The sequence below is a fragment of the Homo sapiens genome, chromosome 15 (genome assembly GCF_000001405.40).
Source record: "Homo sapiens chromosome 15, GRCh38.p14 Primary Assembly".
Taxonomy (NCBI): Eukaryota; Metazoa; Chordata; class Mammalia; order Primates; family Hominidae; genus Homo; species Homo sapiens.
This window is the reverse complement of record NC_000015.10, coordinates 27,502,908-27,521,816: the sequence shown is the minus strand read 5'-3', so window position 1 is coordinate 27,521,816 and position 18,909 is coordinate 27,502,908. Positions and strand designations below refer to the sequence as shown.

At 37.1% G+C, this 18,909-nt stretch overlaps 1 protein-coding gene across 1 annotated transcript in view, besides 1 other annotated feature; it reads right to left on the bottom strand.

Annotated features, from left to right (window-relative positions):
- GABRG3 (gamma-aminobutyric acid type A receptor subunit gamma3) overlaps positions 1-18,909 on the bottom strand; it is a 570,804-nt gene that overhangs the window by 20,168 nt on the left and 531,727 nt on the right. Inside the window, exon 7 of the mRNA NM_033223.5 lies at positions 1,693-1,845. Coding sequence (NP_150092.2) covers positions 1,693-1,845 — 153 coding nt within the window. The remainder of the gene's footprint in view (positions 1-1,692; positions 1,846-18,909) is intronic.
- Positions 8,659-9,240: an enhancer, noted in NCBI's record as "NANOG hESC enhancer chr15:27757723-27758304 (GRCh37/hg19 assembly coordinates)". NCBI's record gives its function as "activates a minimal SCP1, AML or CMV promoter by ChIP-STARR-seq in naive H9 embryonic stem cells {active_cell/tissue: H9 hESC(naive)}" and the evidence as "EXISTENCE:reporter gene assay evidence [ECO:0000049][PMID:30033119]".

Genomic DNA, 18,909 nt, shown 5'->3' with positions numbered 1-18,909 from the left:
TCTTCAGATTAGATAAATTTCATCTGGTGGTCTTCAATTTTATATAAACTTTTATTTCTGCCATCTTCAATCTGCTCTTAAGTCTAGTTAGTGAATTTTTCAATCAAGATATTATACATTTCACTCTAGAATTTCTTTTTATATACTTTCTGTGATGAGATAACCCATCTATTCATTAATTAAAATCATATTATCCTTTAAGTCTTCATTGTTATAATAGCTGTTGTTAAAGTCCATGCCTACTGAGTCAGCAATAGACTTCTCTTTGCTTTTTATTAATCCTTCTTTCTTTGTAATCATGGGTAACATTTTTCTACATCTTAGAATGTCTAATAAGTTCTTATTATAACTCCTTACAATGTAAAGAGTCTGCACTATATTATCTTTTTAAGAAGCTCTTTGAATTCTTCTGACAAACAGTTAATTTACTGATGGTTCTCCTTGATCTTGTTATTGCTTGGTTCAAGCTTCATTAAAGGACGTCTAGGGTACCCCCTTTATTTCTAGGCACAGACTTTTTGGTGTCTAAACTAAACATCTTATTGTTAATAAAGTTCCTCAATTCTTCTGGCTATAAATTTATTATCTGACTGCACCGTGAAATTCTAGCTTCTGTGTCTTGAGCCCAGAACAACTATTCTCTGTAGGATTTTCATAGTCTCAATTTGTACAAACATAGTTATATATTATATCACTTTGAAGCTTATCTTTAGATGTCTTGTGTACAGTGACATCTAATATATGTAACTATGAAGCCATAACCCCAAGGGTTAGTCACGAAATCTGTGTTGATTTGCCTACAATTCTACCACGTATTTTCTATAAGCATGCAAATCTAGTATAGGTAGAGGATATTACAGGCTAATTAATCTCTTGGCATCTGGTCTACCCAGGCCCAGTGCTTTGTTCTTGAACAAACAAATAAAAAAAAAACACAGAGAAATAACAATGCAAATATGAGAGATGTTGCAGAAATTTGAAATTGAGACAGCTTCCTCTTTTCTATAGGATTTTTTTTAGGGGAAAACAATCTCTATATTCAGTCTTATATATTACCTGCCTTCAAAAAATCAAAACATTGAAAGTTAAGCAAAATTCCTGTCAGAAAGGAAACCTGACATAATACACGTTGCACAGTTCTAAAACTACTGAAAGTTAGTGTTTTATTAAGAAGATTTTGGGAACCAGAGAAAAATTCATGAAAAGACTGAGTTTTAGTGTGTGCTCACAGCTGAAAAGAATGATCATTTTCTCGTTTGCTGATAAAGTTGCTATATACAAGCAGAGCTTCAATTATTGATCAACTATTTTTTACCAATACTATGTCTTCAGTCCTCAGAGGTGTGTGGCAAATTCTGTTTCCTGACATTAACGTATGGGGACTTTTGAGTTGACAGGTTCTGGGATGTGCCTGTGTTTTTGTGATCATATCAGCCTGTGATACAGGATACTATCACAATGGATTTACTGTGAATCTCCTACGCCGTCTTGATTTAAGTGGCATACATAGAATCCCATTGTGAGAAAGAACAGCCTTGCTTGGCTTCTTAAGAGAAAATTCTAAGCATGGTTCAAGTCACCCTCAAATGAGATCATTCACATTTAAATAGTCTTTTACATTGAAGGTATTTTTTATGAATGCTTCTATATTACAATTACGCAAATTTGTGGAAGAGATTTTTTGAAACTCACCTAATGCTGTTCTTGCTGGCGTAGCATCTTTTTTGATCCAAAATGACACCCAGGATAAAACCACAGTCAGTATACAGGGAATGTATGTCTGAATGGTGAAGTATCCCATTCTTCTACTCAATTCAAAATATATAGTCATGACAACATAATCACCTGTAATAAAATATTGTCAAAATTAAGACAACTTTGATGGGTCAAAAATAATTCAGGAAAATAATTTACAATTTATTTTGTTAAGTGAATGACTTGGATAAAAATGCACAACTACAACAATATCAAATCAGGAAATGGATCAAAATGCTGGTTTTCTTAAACTTAATTTTCATAGTAACCATGGCTGTACCAGGCATTTAATCGGTCAGTGTAAAGGGCACAAAACGAACATATTCACGGATAGAGTGAGAACACATGCAGATCTCTTCCACGACAGGCCATGAGTTGATGAGCTATTATCACTTGAGTCCTTCCATAGGTTGTACAATTAAATTCAAGAGTAACAGGTAAACTCAACCCTCAAACAGACCCAGGGTCATTTTAAGGGATGCTTTTCCAATGACAACAAAGCTATCATATCTTACATAAACTTGTGTAACCATTTTATATTTTTATTTATTTATATCTTTAAGTTTTGCTTATCAACTTCGCACTTTGTTTTAATTAATGTATGTATATTTATCTGATCCTTTTGTAACCCAGGACTTAAGCTGTGCCAACCCAGAAACAAAAAGGAGTAATCATTTCCTGACATTCCACTCTCTTCTACCAAAGCAGAACCACACCATAAAGAAGTTGGGAGCAATGCAGATGTGACTAGAGATTCCATAAGATCCCCCGGGGGCTTGAAAGAGGGTGCATGCTTAATACATTGTACATTTTCTCCCCAAAGCATCTCCATTGATTTCTTGTCTAGGCCACCTCTTGCTGAGATTATCTCCTCATCCTCATCCTCCCCATTTGAATCCTCCACCCCTTTAGCCTGCTGGATTCAGTCATCCAGTGCCCGAAATCCACCATGTCCAGAACTGAACTATCACCTTCCCCGTGCCAATACCTCCTCTTCTTTCAGGTCCATCTCTCACTTGTTCAAAGAGGAAACCAAAAAGCCACCTCTGACTCCTCCTTTTCTCTTCTCAATGGTTCTATATGATCCATTGCTCTCAAATCCTTTCCCCATCTAGTCCAAGCTACCACCTTCTGCCATAGATCCAAGCTTATCTCCTAATGACCAGTCCTTTTTGCTCTAAATCATTCTACCTACTGCCATCAAAAGGAACTTTGTAAAACACTAGTATCATTTTAGCCTTCTCCTTATTAGCTGCCCTTGCACAGCTGTGACACTTTTATGTGGTCCACATCATTCTGCATTAAACACTCCTTGCCCTGTGCTCTCTACACTCTTGGCATCTTGTCTACCCAGGGCCTCAGACTTGCCAAAACCCTTCCCACACTCCTCTGAATTCCTTCCCATCTGCATAGCATGCTCTTCTTTTTATTTCCCCAGCATCTAGATAGTTCCTATTCACTCACTTAGCTTAAAAATCACTTACTTCCCCAGGAAATCTTCCCTGACACCTTCCCATAAATTGGATGGATTTGTTTCTATAATTACTGGTACAATATCTATCTTAAAACCAATAAACTGGTTGGTTTATAGAATATGTCTCTCTTGTTTACCAACGTTGGCTAACCATAATAAATTAATTAATATTTGCTGAATGAAAAAGACTATCACTGATGTCCCATTTTTTTTTTTTTGAGACAGAGTTTCACTCTTGTCACCCAGGCTAGAGTGCAATGGCACAATCTTGGCTCACTGCAACCTCCGCCTTCCAGGTTCAAGCAATTCTCTTGCCCCAGCCTTTCAAGTAGCTGGGATTACAGGCATGTGCCACCACGTCTGGCTAATTCTTTTTTTTTTTTTTTTTTTTTGTATTTTTAGTAGAGTTGGGGTTTCACATGTTGATCATGCTGGTCTCGAACTCCTGACCTCAGGTGATCCACCTGTGTTGGCCTCCCAAAGTGCTGGGATTACAGGCATGAGCCACCACGCCCAGCCCAAAGTCCCATTTTTACTTAAAAGATTGACAGGGAGATGGTATTGGTCTCAGATGAAAACTATGCTCCCAATAAATTAGAATTTTTTGCAGGATGAAATATTCTGTTGTAGCAATATTTAGAGTTGTTGATAGAAACATCAACTTTGATATCATTTACCAAGAAACATTTAAAAATTTAAACAAATTAGTATTTCAGTACAAAGGAATTAGGATGATTAGCCTGAAGCAATAAAAGAGCACAAGTATATATTTTAATGTAATGTGAATGCTAAAATTACATCATTTCCTAAGGAAATGTGATTTGAATTATGTGTGATTCTTAATGTCTATTAATTTTTGGCATAAAATTGCAATCAAAACCCTAGAGGAATAAACCAACAAGCTAACATACAGAAAAACAAAGGACAATAAATCACCCTAGGAGTTATGCAGAGTCCAAATGGAACATCCAAAGAGTAATTTCATTTATCACCACTGCAGGTTACTGACAAGATAAACAGAAAGACAACTCCAGACAAGACGCACAATTTATTACAGCAAATCCACCTGCTTTCTCCCTGCCTGGGGTGAGAGGAGCTCCCCATGCCTATGCTCAGTATACTCCCTTGCCTAATTCAGAAGTCTACCTGGGCATCCATGGTTATTAGCTTCCATGGTCATCCTACTGAGGCTCTGCCTTTCCCAGACATGGGTGCTTTGCAGGAGGGAGGCAGTAGCACCAGTGAAAGTCCCAGTGTTGGGTGCATGACTGGAGGTATGCACAATATGGAGGTGTGCACGATACTGGCAATGACGGAGGAGGCAGCATCAGACAAAGTCCCAGTGCTGGGCACAATATGGAGGTGTGCATGATACTGGCAATGACGGAGGAGGCAGCCTCAGACAAAGTCCCAGTGTTGGGCACATGCGTGGAGGAGTGCATGATACTGGCAATGATAGAGGCGGCACTAGTCAAAGTCCCAGTGCTGGGCGCATGCATGGAGGTGGGCACGATGTTGTCAGTGATGGAGGAGGCAGTGGCACCAAAGTCCTAGTGCTAGGCGCATGACTGGAGGTGTGCACGATGCTGTCAGTGATGGAGGAGGCAGCAGAATGACCCATGAAGATGACTTCTTCCTCAGCTCATATTCAGAGGAAAGTCAGGACCTGAAACTTGTTATTTCCAATCCCAAATACTTGTTTTATTTATTTCATTAGATAGCAATCCATTCTCAATAATTGCTTTTTAGCATTAAACATAGAAATAAAATTTGCCCCAGGATGATGTTTTGAAACGTCACAGTGGACTAGTTGGGGCTTTTCTATTTACTTACTTATTCATTTATTTTAGAGTTAGTAAGTTCCATATCTGGTAGTTCCCACCACCAGAGAGAGACTGACATGCATTTATTTGCTCTCAGTGATTCCATGTTCACATTCTCAGAAAGCCTCTGACACGGTCAATTTCAGACAGGTCAGAATCAGATAAATAAAACCAGTGGTGTAGAAGATTGTATTGGCTTAGATTAGATTGCTGCCCATCTTGGACAAATCAACTTCAACTGAGGCAGGTTCAGGTAAGAACATGGCAGCTCCCAGGCTGGCTGTGGAAGGAGGAGCAGTTCCCAGAAGATGGGGCTTTATCCCCAGAAGAAAGATAGGTTGACGGGTAGGAATAACAGAGGTAATCTGGCTTGGAAACACCAAAGGAAGTAAGTGTACAAATTTTCTTTGTCGTATCATTTAATGACTCTATATTGAAGTATATTTCCATGTTTCTCAGAGAACATAAAATTATTCTTTATTCACACTTCATACAATTAGTTTATTGTAAAATACAAGGACATGGTACATTTAAAGACCTTTTTCTTCATTTTACTAAACTTTATGTTTGCAAAATTATTATTTTAATGAATCAGTAGGTAGATAATAAATTATTATTGAAAAAGGAAGTTGGTAGGGGTGTTTTTTTTTTTTTCTGAAAATGCTAACCGGCTGCTAGATAACATCTTGTGGGCCACATTAATAAAATACCAAATATATAAGCAAATTTACAATTTTTAAATTCTAGGTTTCTGTTTTGAAATTTGACAGCAACATAGCATCTTATGCTTTAAAAGTCCAGTCGAGTTTCAGAAAGAGATCTTCACAGAAAATTTAAAAAAGGAAAACCCTTCACAGAATGTATTTCTAATGTATGAGCTCTAAAGATGTTCCCACCTGAATTTATCATCCCATTTAATTGGTAAGTTTGGAAGTTCATATAGATATTTTCAATACTCCAACTCCTCTACGGACTAGGTGAATCTTTTGTAATTGCATTATTCCCAGAGTATACTATTTCAAAACCATTATTTACTCATGCCATAGATACCACATTTCTTTATTGCATCTCTGGCACCAAAAACATCCTTTGAGTCTCCTTTAAACGTTGTTATTTCCCTCCATCTCCTCTCTTTCTCATGGCCATCTCTTGCCCATCCTCCCAACCCCACCAACTTACAGATACATCCAGCCTGGTTTCCTTTCAAAATTGCCTAAGCTTAATACTCTCTGAAAAGCCACCTGAGGCCTGGAGATTAGCAAGCAATGCTCAGCCAAAAAGCCTAATGTTCTCCATCTTATTCTTCAAGTTTGCCCTGAGGTGACTTGTCTTTTTCTTCTCTTTATTACATTTGTTTATAAAAAGAAGTTCCAGCCGGTCGCGGTGGCTCAACCTGTAATCCCAGCAATTTGGGAAGCCGGGTTAGGTGGATAACCCGAGGTCAGGAGTTCAAAATCCACCTGGCCAACATGGTGAAACCCCGTCTCTACTAAAAATACAAAAAGTTAGTTGGGTGTGGTGGTGGATGCCTGTAATCCCAGCTACTTAGGAGGCTGAGGCAGGAGAATCTCTTGAACCTGGGAGGCAGAGGTTGCAGTGAGCCGAGAACTATCTCGGAATGCCACTGCATTCCAGCCTGGGCAACGAGAGCAAAACTCCGTCTCAAAAAAAACAAAAAAATTAAGAAACATTAAAAAAGAAGTTCCTAATTTTAGGGAAATTAAATTTATCAACCTTTTATTTTACCATTCATACCATTTGTGTCATTCTTGAGAATTTGTTCCTTAATAACCCAGGACCATTAAGTTCCCTTACACAAGTTTTGCTTTTCTCCTAGTTTTCCTTCTATGCAATTACTTCTTCTCCAATTCAAGTTTTCTGAATTCTGTGATTAGTGGCTACACCATCATTTATTGCCACTTCCAGTCATCTGCAGGCCCACCTCTCTTTTATTTGTGTGTTCGTATCTGTATGAATCTGTGTGTGCATTTTGATTCTGCCACATAACCACACTGTCTTAATCAGCATAACTGTGGCAGACACACCCTAAAGTGACCCCAGTTAGTCATATAGTTGTATTGTTCCTTCCTCGTGAGTGTGGGCAAAACCTGATTTGGTTTCACTTAATGGATCAACTCCCTTGATTGAATTTCTTTATACGGCAAAGATGAATAAATTTTGCAAATGTAATTAAGACCCAAAATCTGTTGATTTCAAGTTAATCAAAGAAAGATTATCTTGGGTGGCCCTGACTTAATCAGGTGAAAGATGTTAAAAGAAAGACTGAGCCTTTCATGAAGAGAGAGACTGTCCTCTGGTCTCTACAGCTGCGAATAATAATTCTGTCCACAACTTGAGTTTGGAAATTGATTCTTCTGCAGTCAAGTCTCCAGATGAGACTGAAGCTCAGCCAACTCCTTAATTGCAGCCCTAAGAGCCTAAACAAAGTTCCCCGCTAAGCCACACCTAATTCACAGAAATTATAAGGTCATAAATGTGTTTTGTTTTAAACTACTAAGTTTGTGGCAATTTGTTAAACTGAAATGGAAAACTAATACAATAGCATTGGTCACAAGTACAGAAGCTGCCAATCTTTGTATTCTTCTCCATGGATGCCTTGGCTCTTCTTCGGTCTTTGTGCTTATAAAATTGTAGAATCAGTTTAAAAATTTTTCATAAACACTGTTGGTATTTTGATTGGAATAAATTATGCATCCTCATTTATTTAGATAATCAGTGTAGCTGCCTGAAAGTACAGCAGTTAAGAAAAAGTTTTTGTCATCATGAAGTTTTAGCTATTTCAATTTGCATATCCTTCAATGAAATATTGAATTACTTCCATAAAGCTTTGGCAAGTCTTTTGTTAGATTTAGTTCTTGATACATGTATATTTCTGTTGCTATGGATGATGTATTTAAATTAAATTACATTACATTTATATTTAAGTTCGTGTTTTAATTTTTTTCTTTCTTCCTGATTTGTTATAACTTTATTAACATGTGTCTCGTGTCCTGTTTTCCTGGGACCTGGTTGGCAGATTCACGTCTTCCTTCATTTCAGGATTTTTTTTCCAATACAGCCTTTAAACAGTTTGTCCTATTTGTTTTATTCTTTTCCTCGTCTCACAAACATTAATTATGTGTTTGTGAGTACTCTGTTTGATTTACACATCTATCATTTTTTTCTTACTATTCACTGAGTGCATTCCTCGGTATTACTAAACCTGTTCTTCATATTCCTGACAATATTATCAGCAGGTTAGATTCTGTAACAGCTACTTGTAATGTGGCTTTCATTTTTTTTTTCTTTTTTTTTGAGACGGAGTCTTACTCTGTCTCCCAGGCTGGAGTGCACTGGCGCCATCTTGGCTCACTGCAAGCTCCGCCTCCCAGGTTCACGCCATTCTCCTGCCTCAGCCTCCCGAGTAGCTGGGACTACAGGCGCCCACCACCACGCCTGGCTAATGTTTTTGTATTTTTTTAGTAGAGACAGGGTTTCACCGTGTTAGCCAGGATGGTCTCGATCTCCTGACCTCGTGATCTGCTTGCCTCGGCCTCCCAAAGTGATGGGATTACAGGCATGAGCTACTGCGCCTGTCCGTGGCTTTCATTTTTTATGATTTTATTTCTTCTCCTTCCCTCCCCCAAATATCTCCTGGCCTGCTTGATATCTCCTCTCATCTTTTCATCTCTGTCTATGTTTCTTTTATCCTCTTTTGAGTGACTTCAGTTTTGAGCTAAAATTTTCTTCACTTGGTCCAAGATCATAGGGAAGTATTTGTTTGGAATGTTCTTAATATACATGTCCTCCATCAGCATTTGTAGTGTTTTACGTTTTGTCTTTCTTTGGAATCTCTGCATGGGTCCCATTTGCATTTCTAACTAAAGTTGACAGGGGGCACTTTTTGGAGGTCAGCCCTAGGGTATGAATAGTGCCTGCAGGGGTCAACTCAGCACAAATGGGTTGCCTCAGCAGGTTTCTGGAGCCCCTGGCCATCTACTCCCCTGGGCTTTGCCCTTGAGCAGTGTATCTGAGCCCTGTTTGTGAGTTCTTTTCTTCTCCACAACCTCCATATGTGAGTGTGCCAGTGGCTCAGCCTGGAGACCTTCTCCCTTCTATTCTTTAATTTTCTAGAGGATCTCAACTAGTTGCAGGAGTTTAAATACTATCAGTGCTTTGCATAGTGTTGACTACTTTCGGGAACTTTAGACTCATCTACCCTTGCATCATCTCAATGTGTCCATACAGGTATAACAGGCATTTCAAAATCAACAGGCCACGTGAGTCCTGCTTCTCGTGCCTCCTGCTCTGTAACAAGCAGCTCCACCTGCAGTGCACTGTGCTCAACAAACATTCACTCTGTCCTAGTTGCTCTGACCTTCAACCTCACAGTCAGCCTTTCTTCTTCTCTTATCCTCATATTATATATTTACTCCATAAAAATGCATTAAACATGCTCAGATTCCAACCACATTTTACTACTCTAATGCACCAATGACATCGCACTTGATTATTGTAATAATAATAATACAATATAATATTATTGCAATATAATAATAATTGTAATCGTTGCTTAATTTGTCCTTCTGCAGATTATTTTCTATCTAACAGCCAACATAATCCTTTTAAAATAGGGGTCAAATCAAGCCTTTCCAAGCTCACTCCAGGGACTTTCTATCTCATTGAGATTAATACTAAGAGCGTGGCTTGGACTACAAACTCCTTCATGGTTTGGGCTCCCTCCCAGTCAAGGAAACAGCTCTTGCCCCACTGTCCCTTCTGCTGTCCCCCACACACTTGATCTTGCTCCCTTGCTCTTGCATTTCTAGTTGCTAGAACGTTCCTCCCACAAATCTCCAGCGTTGCTTACTTCCTCACTGACTCAGTTGTCCAAATGTGACCCTATTAGATTATTGACTACCTGTGTAAAGTAAGAACGGTTTGCCATTGGAGACACAATGGATCTATGAACAGTGGGAATCTGTTACCCCTTTCCCTGCTCTGTTTCTCTCTGTAGCACTTATCCTCTTGAAATATATGAGATGCATATTTACTTGTTTATCATCTATTCCCTCTACCCCATAGAATACAAGTTCCGTGATGACACTTCGTCCGTTTTCTTTGCTTCCTGAGCTCTTGTAGGCCTTCTGTGAATGTTTGTTCAATGATCTTTTAATCTTCTCATCATCATACCTCCTGGGATTTTGCGTTGAGCAGTATATCAGTGTGGATTTAAAAAGATCTTTATAAGCTACAGGGGTAGGTATAGTGATGTAGTGTTTCCTTTTCCATGGTTAGTAGCAGTATAGCTAATCTCTTTTGTAACTCATGTATTAATTGCCTAATTCATGGAATGGGCCTGTCCCTTCTTCAGCATCACCAACACCTCCCTTTCGCTATCAGAGGGGACACGGCTCAGGGATGCTCCTCTAGACTGCATCCTCCTTGCCCCAGCCAGCTCTCACACACATATACACGGTGTTAGGTAGGTCAGAAGTTTCTTGAAGGGCCCATCTATTGTTTACAAAACTCTGCACCTTACAAAAGAATTGTAGATAATTCCATGCGCTTTTGGTGCTTCTTTTAATTTAGTCACTAATTTACCTTGCTCCTTTTATTCCTTGTATTGGCAGATTTGTGGTTACTTCCTACAGTCAATGATAATTGTTTTTTCTTCCTTTTCTTTTCACTTGTGTTCTGGCATTCTATTGTTTCCAGAGAGGAATGTGTGGTAAAAATCTTCTCTATCGCACACTACATCATTTTTAAAAGAAGAATCACACAAGTGTTTTTATATATATAAAGAGTTGAGTTTATACCCACATCCTTACCATTCACTTTTATGACCACTGCAAGAAAAAAATATTTAAAGTATTACATATTTTGAAACAAAAAGTGCTAATTTTTATTACAATCAGTTTTTAACTTCATGCCCGTAATCCTGTTTAACCGTAAAGTAACGGATAGTTTTTAGAACAAGTAATTCTTGGCCAAATTGAGGTATAAATATAATGTAAAAAGTTAATCAGTTAATATGATTGTCTACATATGAGGTGCTGGAGGAAACTTTAGGATAATTACAGGCACCACCAAATATAATATAATTCAGTAACTTTATTCAGCTAGAAATTTCTATCTGATCACTAAATGCTGAGTCTGAACACCACCATCTTTTTAAATGGAGGATAAAGGAGAATCCTGAGAAAGCCTCCCCATGGGGCCGCCTGGGAGAGGATGACAGAACTCATTGTGAGAACTCCACCCACGTCCACATCATTGTGTCCCCTGTGAAGCAAATGTCTCAGTACACAGGGGGAAGGGCAACAAAAACTGGTGCAACAGGGGAATGGTGGAAATCTACTGCAGCTGTGTGTATGTGAGTAGAAAAGCAAGCAAGCACTACCCCTGGGGGAGAGATGGCAGTACCGTTGGGCCCAACATCATTACATCTGCAGAAGGCACAGGAACACTTGGGAAGGTCACACTCTAAGAACTAGGTTTACAAATCATGCCTAAGACTGAGCCTTACTCCAAACATAGATAACATCTCACCATCCCTTGATCCAACCACCCACACGCAACAAGCATAGAATGAAAACAGCAGTGTAGTCCAGGTGGTGACTGCAAGAGACAGATGTTCCCTGGGAAAAGTGCAAGGGGAAGAGTCAAAACTGAGCCACAGGACCTGGAGTCAAGCAGATAGTCAACTTCAAACCTGGCTTAACTTCTAACTACATAAGCAAGAACCCTCACACTAAAAGCAGGGCAAAATGAAAGGCATGCTTATTTCTAAGCATACATAAAATGTATCTGAGTATCTACTATTCTATAAAACATGTCTAGCTTCCAGATAAAATTATGGGACATACAAAAACCAAAAATAGCAGCCTGAAAAGGCAAAATAATTACTAAGAACAGAACCAGATAGGAAAGAGGGTATTTAAATAATTATTTAATATGTTAATGGCTCTAATGGAGAAATAGGCAACATGCAAGACCAAAGAGGTGATTTGGTCAATCAATGGAAATTAGCATAATGGAAATTAGCAGATCAATGGAAATTATAAGAAAGAATCTAATGGAAGTACAAGAAATCAAAAATGTAGTAAGAGAGGTTAAGCATGCTTTTGATAGGCACATTAGTAAACTTATCATAGCCAAAGAAAGACCCAGTGAGCTTTACTATAGGTGAGTAGAAATTAGCCAATCTAAAACAAAAAGAGAAATATGAGTTAAAAAATCAGGACAGAGAAACCAAGAGCTGTGAAAAAATAACAAACTGTCTAATATACATATTATTTGAATTCCAAAAGAAGAAGAGAAAACAATATATTTGAAGAAATAATGGCTGAGAATTTTGCAAAATAATGACAGACACCAAAGTACAAATCCAAGAGGCTCAAATATCAGCCAGAATCAAAAGAAAACAAACAAATAACAAACCCCCCAACTACATATATCATATTAAAAGTGCTGAAAACCAGATACAAAGGGAACATTTTGGAAGCAGCCAAGGGAAAAAAAGATACATTTTTGCTTTTTGCTTTTTCCCTCACCAGAGGAGCAAAAAGGATAAGATTCACAGCAGACTTCTCTTCAGAAATCATGCAAGAAAGAAGACAATGGAATAAAATCTTTAAGTTTCTGAAAGAAAAAGTAAACCCACAGTGAAACTCAGTAAAAACACTTTCCAAAAGTGAAATAGACATAAACAGTTTCTCAGAAAAACAAAAACTGAGGGAATTCAGCCGGGCACGGTGGCTCAAGCCTATAATCCCAGCACTTTAGGAGGCCAAGGCGGGCGGATCAGGAGGTCAGGAGATTGAAAGCATCCCGGCTAACACGGTGAAACCCCATCTCTACTAAAAATACAAAGAAACAAAATTAGCTGGGTGTGGTGGTGGGTGCCTGTGGTCCCAGCTACTCGGGAGGCTGGGGTGAGAGAATGGCGTGAACCTGGGAGGCAGAGTTTGCAGTGAGCCGAGATCACGCCACTGTACTCCAGCCTGGGTGATGGAGCGAGACTCCATCTCAACAACAACAACAACAGCAACAACAACAAAAACAAAACAAAACAAAAAAAACTGAGGGAATTCATTGGCAGAAGATCTAATCAACGAGAAATGGAAAGGAAGTTCTTCAGAGATATGGAATATAATATATTCAGAAACTTGCATACATGCAAAGAAATGAAGAGTGTTGGAAATGTAATAAATGAGTGTATTTATGCTTTGATAATATTGACTTTAAAAGTTAACTGTTTAAAGCAAAAATATACAATATATTTTATGTTTATAGCATAAGAAAAAATGAAATGTATAATAGCAATTATACAAGAGATGGAAGAAAGTAATAGGGAATATACTGTTAAAAGGTTTTTATACTACATATATATCAGCATAATACTATTTGGAGGTCAACTCAGATTATTTAAAACTAAAAAGTTTTAAAAGATTGTTATACACAATAAGTCTAAACAGAAAACAAAATTGGAGCATTGTTAATTAAATGTAATCAAAGTAGCAAGAGGGAAAGGAAACAACAGCTGGAATATGTTTTTACAAATGAGAGCGAGATCGTATATTTTAATCTGACCTTATCAATAATCACTTTATATGTTAATGATCTAAACATCCCAGATGAAACACACAGGTTGTCAGCTTGGATAAAAATCAAGACTAAACTATATGCTGCATAAAAGCCACTTTAAGTATAAAGGCATATTTAGGTTAAAAGTTAAAAAATAGAGAAAGGAATACCATGCAACATTAAGCAAAAGAAAGCTGGAGTAGTTACATGAATTTTGAACAGAGTAGACTTCAGAACAAAGGTTATTTTTAGGAATAAAAAGGAATGTTACATAATGATAAAAGGATGGATTCTCTAACAGAACATAATTTTTAATGTGTATGTACTTATCAACAGAGATTCAAAATATATGATGCAAAAACTGACAGATCTGAAAGAAGAGACAGACACAAAGAAATAAATATAGTTGGAAAATTTAATAATCTTTTCTAAGTGATTGAAAGGACAAACAAACAGAAAATATGTAAGGATATGGAAGACTTGAACAATCGTATCAACCAGTTTGACATTATTTATAATTATATAATACTCCAGGCAACAAAACAGCAGAATACATATTCTTCTGAAATACATATAGAATGTTCGGCAAAATAGAACATATTCTGGGCCACAAACCGAAGCTTAACATATTTATTTGTTTATTTATTTATTTATTTATTATTTTTATTTTTTAAGATGAAGTCTCACTCTGTCACCCAAGCTGTAGTGCAGTGGTAGGATCTTGGCTCACTGCAGCCTCTGCTTGCTGAGTTCAAGCCATTCTCCTACCTCAGCCTCCTGAGTAGCTGAGACTACAGGCTCACACCACCACGCCTGGCTAATTTTTGTATTTTTAGTAGATATGGGGTTTCACCATTTTGGCCAGGCTGGTCTTGAACTCCTGACCTCAGGTGGTTCACCTGCCTCAGCCTGAAAAATACTGGGATTACAGGTGTGAGCCATCGTGCTGGGCCAAAACTTAACATATTTAAAAGAATATAAATCATACAAAGTAAGTCCTTAGACTATAGTACAAATAAACTAAAAATAAGTAACAGAAAGATAACTAGAAGTTTTCCAAATATTTTACAATTAAACAACACATTTGTAGGATTTTATGGGTCAGGAAGAAAATCTCAGGGGAAATTAAAAATATTTTGAACTGAAAATTAAAATACAATTTATGAAAATTGTGTAACACAAGTAAAAACTGCATAGATGCACATTTATAGCATTAAATGCTTATATTGCAATATTGCAAAGAATAAAAGACCCTTGAATCAGTAATCTAAGCTACCACCTTAAGAAACTAGAAAAAAAATAGTCACTTTAGTGAAAAAAAACCAGAGAAATGAAAAAAATTAAGATTATAAAAGAAGTTAGTGAAATTTAAAAGAAAAAAAAACCCAAAAGTTGCTTTTTCAAAAAGTAAATAAAATTAATGTATTAGTTTTTCTACTGCTACATTAACAATTGATTGCAGATGTAGTGTTTTAAGAAAACACTCATTATTATGTCACAATTCCATGGGTCAGTCATCCAGGCATGATATTACTGCATTCTCTCCTTAGGGTCACAAAAGGGTGAAATCCATATACCAGCAGGGCTGCATTCTTTTCTGGGGGCTCTAGGGAAAAATCTCCTTCTAATATCATTCAGGTTTTGGCAGAATTCAGCTCCCTGTGGCTACAAGATTGAGTCCCTTGTTTCTCCACTGTCTGTTGGCCAGTGGTTGCACTCAGCTCCCCCTTTCCTTTCCATATGGCAGCGTTCTTATTTAAGCCAGCAAGACCATATCCAATTCTTCTGGTGCCTCAACTCTCTGAGTTCCCCTTCTGGAACCAGTCACAGAAGACTCCATTTGTAAAGGGCTTGTATAATCAATTAAAGCCCACCCAGATAATTTCCATGTCTTAAATTCAACTGTCTCATATAAATAACTTAGTCATGGGAGTCAAATCCATCAAGTTCACAGTGTGAAAGATTATGTAGCAGGTGGGAAATCCTGGAGGCCATTTTAGAATTCTCCCCATTGCAACTGATAAACCTCTAGACAGTCCGAGCAAGAGAAAGAGATAAGACACAAATTACCAATATCAGGAATGAAGGTAGTGGGGCAACATTACGGGAAGGTAAGGGAACAATGCTGAATGCATAACACTATGCCAATAATTCTACAGCTTAGGTGAAATGAACATATCCCCTGAAAAACACAAACTATTAAGACTCACTCAAGAAGAAATAAATAACCTGAATAAACCTATATCTATTAAGTTACATTTTAATCTTTCTAAAAATACCATTCAAATCACAGAAGGCTTCACTAGCAAATTATACCAAGGATCTAAGAAAGAAATAGCACCAATTCTATGTAATCTTTTTTCTCAGAAAATTGAATAAAAGGGAACTATACCCAACTTACTCTATTAGGCCTTAATAGCAAAACCAGACACAGGTATTTTCTGAAAACCACAGGCTAATATACTTAATTAATGTAGACACAAAAATCACCAACAGAATAATAGCAAATTGAATCTAACTAAACACACACACACCACATGACAGGAATACAAGGCTGGTGACATTCAAAAATCAATCAATGTAACTCAACATATTAACACACTAAAGAGGAAACACAATTATTCAGAAAATGTAAACAAATTTTTTGATAAATTGAAACATCCATTTATAATTAAAAGCTTCTAGCAAACTGGGAATAGAAAGGAACATCATTAACCAATAAAGAACATCTACAGAAATACTACAGCTAATATTATCTCCTTAATTGATTACAGGCTAGACTTAGTGGCTCAGTACTAACAAGTAGAAAATTGCAAAGAAAATATTGTAACTTTACAGTGGGGAAATCTGGCAGACAGCACTTTAACCAAGTGATCAAGGTTAACATCACCAGTAATAAGTTATATTGGCATCATGTAATCCCTATGTGATACAATGAGAAGTGTCTAACATGAGAAAACAGACAAGACCAAGTTGAGGACATTCTACAAAATATTTCACCAGTAGTGACCAAAAGTGTCAAGGTCATAAAAAAAACAAATTATCATAGATTTGAAGAGACTAAAGAGATGTGAAAACTAAAAGCAACGTGGTATCAATAATTGGATCCTAGAACAGAAAAAATACGTTAGTGGAAAAACTGGTCAAGTCTGAATAGAGACTGTAGTTTAGCTAAGAGTATTGTGGCTATGTTAATTTTTTAGTTTTGATAACCTCGCTATGGCAAAGTAAAATATTAACATGAAGGGAAAGTGAGCAAAATGTAAATAAATTCTCTTGTAAATCAAAAATTATTTCAAAGGAGAAATTTTTAAAAACCTGTTAACTTGTAAGCTTATACTCAGCAAATATATGTTCAAAGAATGAAGGCAAAATAAAGACTTTCCTAGACATGAAAGCTGAATTGATCACTAGCAAACCCACACTACAATAAATGTTAGAGGAAATCTTTGTTGGGGCGGTGGTGGGGGAAGAAAAAAAAAGACACCAAATGGAAATCTGGATCCACACCAATGAAATGTCAGTCCCGGAAATGGTAACTACATAGGGAAATAAAGTTTATTTTCATCCTATTTAAATCTCTTTAACAAAAATAGTAACTATGTAATATGATATTTAACATATGCAAAAGTAAAATGTATAATCACAATAGCACAAAGTTTGGGAATGGAGAAATATAAGTGTACTCTTGTAAAATTCTTACATCATACATAAAGTGGCAAAATATTTAAGGGTACCCTGTGGTAAGTTCAAGATGTATACAATAAGCTCTAAAATAAACTGCTAAAATAACAAGTCAAAAAGTTTTATCTCAAAAGGTAACTACGAAGATAAAATGGCATCATAAAATATGTTCAATCAATATGAAAGAAGGTAGAAGAAGAGGAAAAATGTGAACAAAAAATAGACGAGAAGTAGAGGAGAAAAAGAACAAAAGATGAGAAAAAGAGGAGAAATAGAACAAAAAAGGAGGATCACAGATTAAAACCAAAAGTGTCAATAATTACATCAAATTTAAATTGTGCAAATACCCAAATTAAGTCATAGTTTTTCAATTTGGATATATAAGCAAGACCCAACTACAGGTTACCTATAAGAAAAAAAGTTTAATAATAAAGACAATAATAGATTAAAAGTAAAAGGATTAAATAAAAGTTTTACTGTGGTAATAATAATCAAAGGAAGCTCAAGAGCCTATATTAATCTGGAAGTAGATTTTAAAGCAAAGAACACCACAACAGATAAAGAAATTCATTTCCTAATGAAAAAGGGTCAGTGCCACAAGATAAAAAATCACCCTAAACATTCATGCACCTAATAATAGAGCTTCCAAATTCATGAAATAAAAATGGACAGAATTGCAAGGAGAAATAGATGAATCTACAATTATGCTTAGTGATTTCAGTACTTCTCTCTCAATAAATGCTTGAACATGCAGACAGGAAATAAGTGAGAACACAAAAGATTTGAACAACACTAGCAATCAACTTGAGCTAATTTGCATTTATAGAACACTCTACCCAATGTCAGCAGAGTACACATTCTTGGTATGTGCACATCAAATAGACTGTATTCTGAGCCTTGGGATAAGCCAAATTATTGTACACTCAATAACTTGGACAAATCTCCAGAAGATTATGCTGAGTGAAAAAAAGGGAAAAAAAAGCCAAATCCAAAAGTTCCATTTTATATGATTCCACTGATACAGGATTCCTGAAATGGAGAGCAGATTAGGGGTTGCAGAGAGTTAAAGAGGGTGTGAAGGTGGGAGCAAAGTGGGTGTGGTATAAAAGGTCTCAATGAGAGGCCCATGTGGTGATCGAAATGTTTTGTATCTTGACTGGATTCATGCCTGTATTATGGTTGTGGTGGTCCGCTTTTCCCCAAAGCATTACTATAACATTGTGAAATATATATTTGGCTTCATCCCCATTTTCTGTCATGCAACTCCAGAAATCCTTGGCATCTCCCAGGTGATGCCTGTTTTGTGTGCTAATAATTGACTGATGGCTGGCAGCCTCTAGGCACCTTCAGGATGGAGCTGGTCACTTGAAAGACCAAGGCAGGATTAGAAGGCTGGGACTTTCAGCCTCACTCCCCAACCTCTAGGGAGAGGAGAAAGCTGAAAGTTAAGTTGATCACCAATGGCCATCGGTTTAACCAGCCATGCCTATGTAATAAAGTCTCTGTAAGAGGCCCCAAAGGACAGAGTTCTGAGCACTTCCAGATGGCCGAACATGTGGAGGCTGGCAGGAACAGGAACGAGAA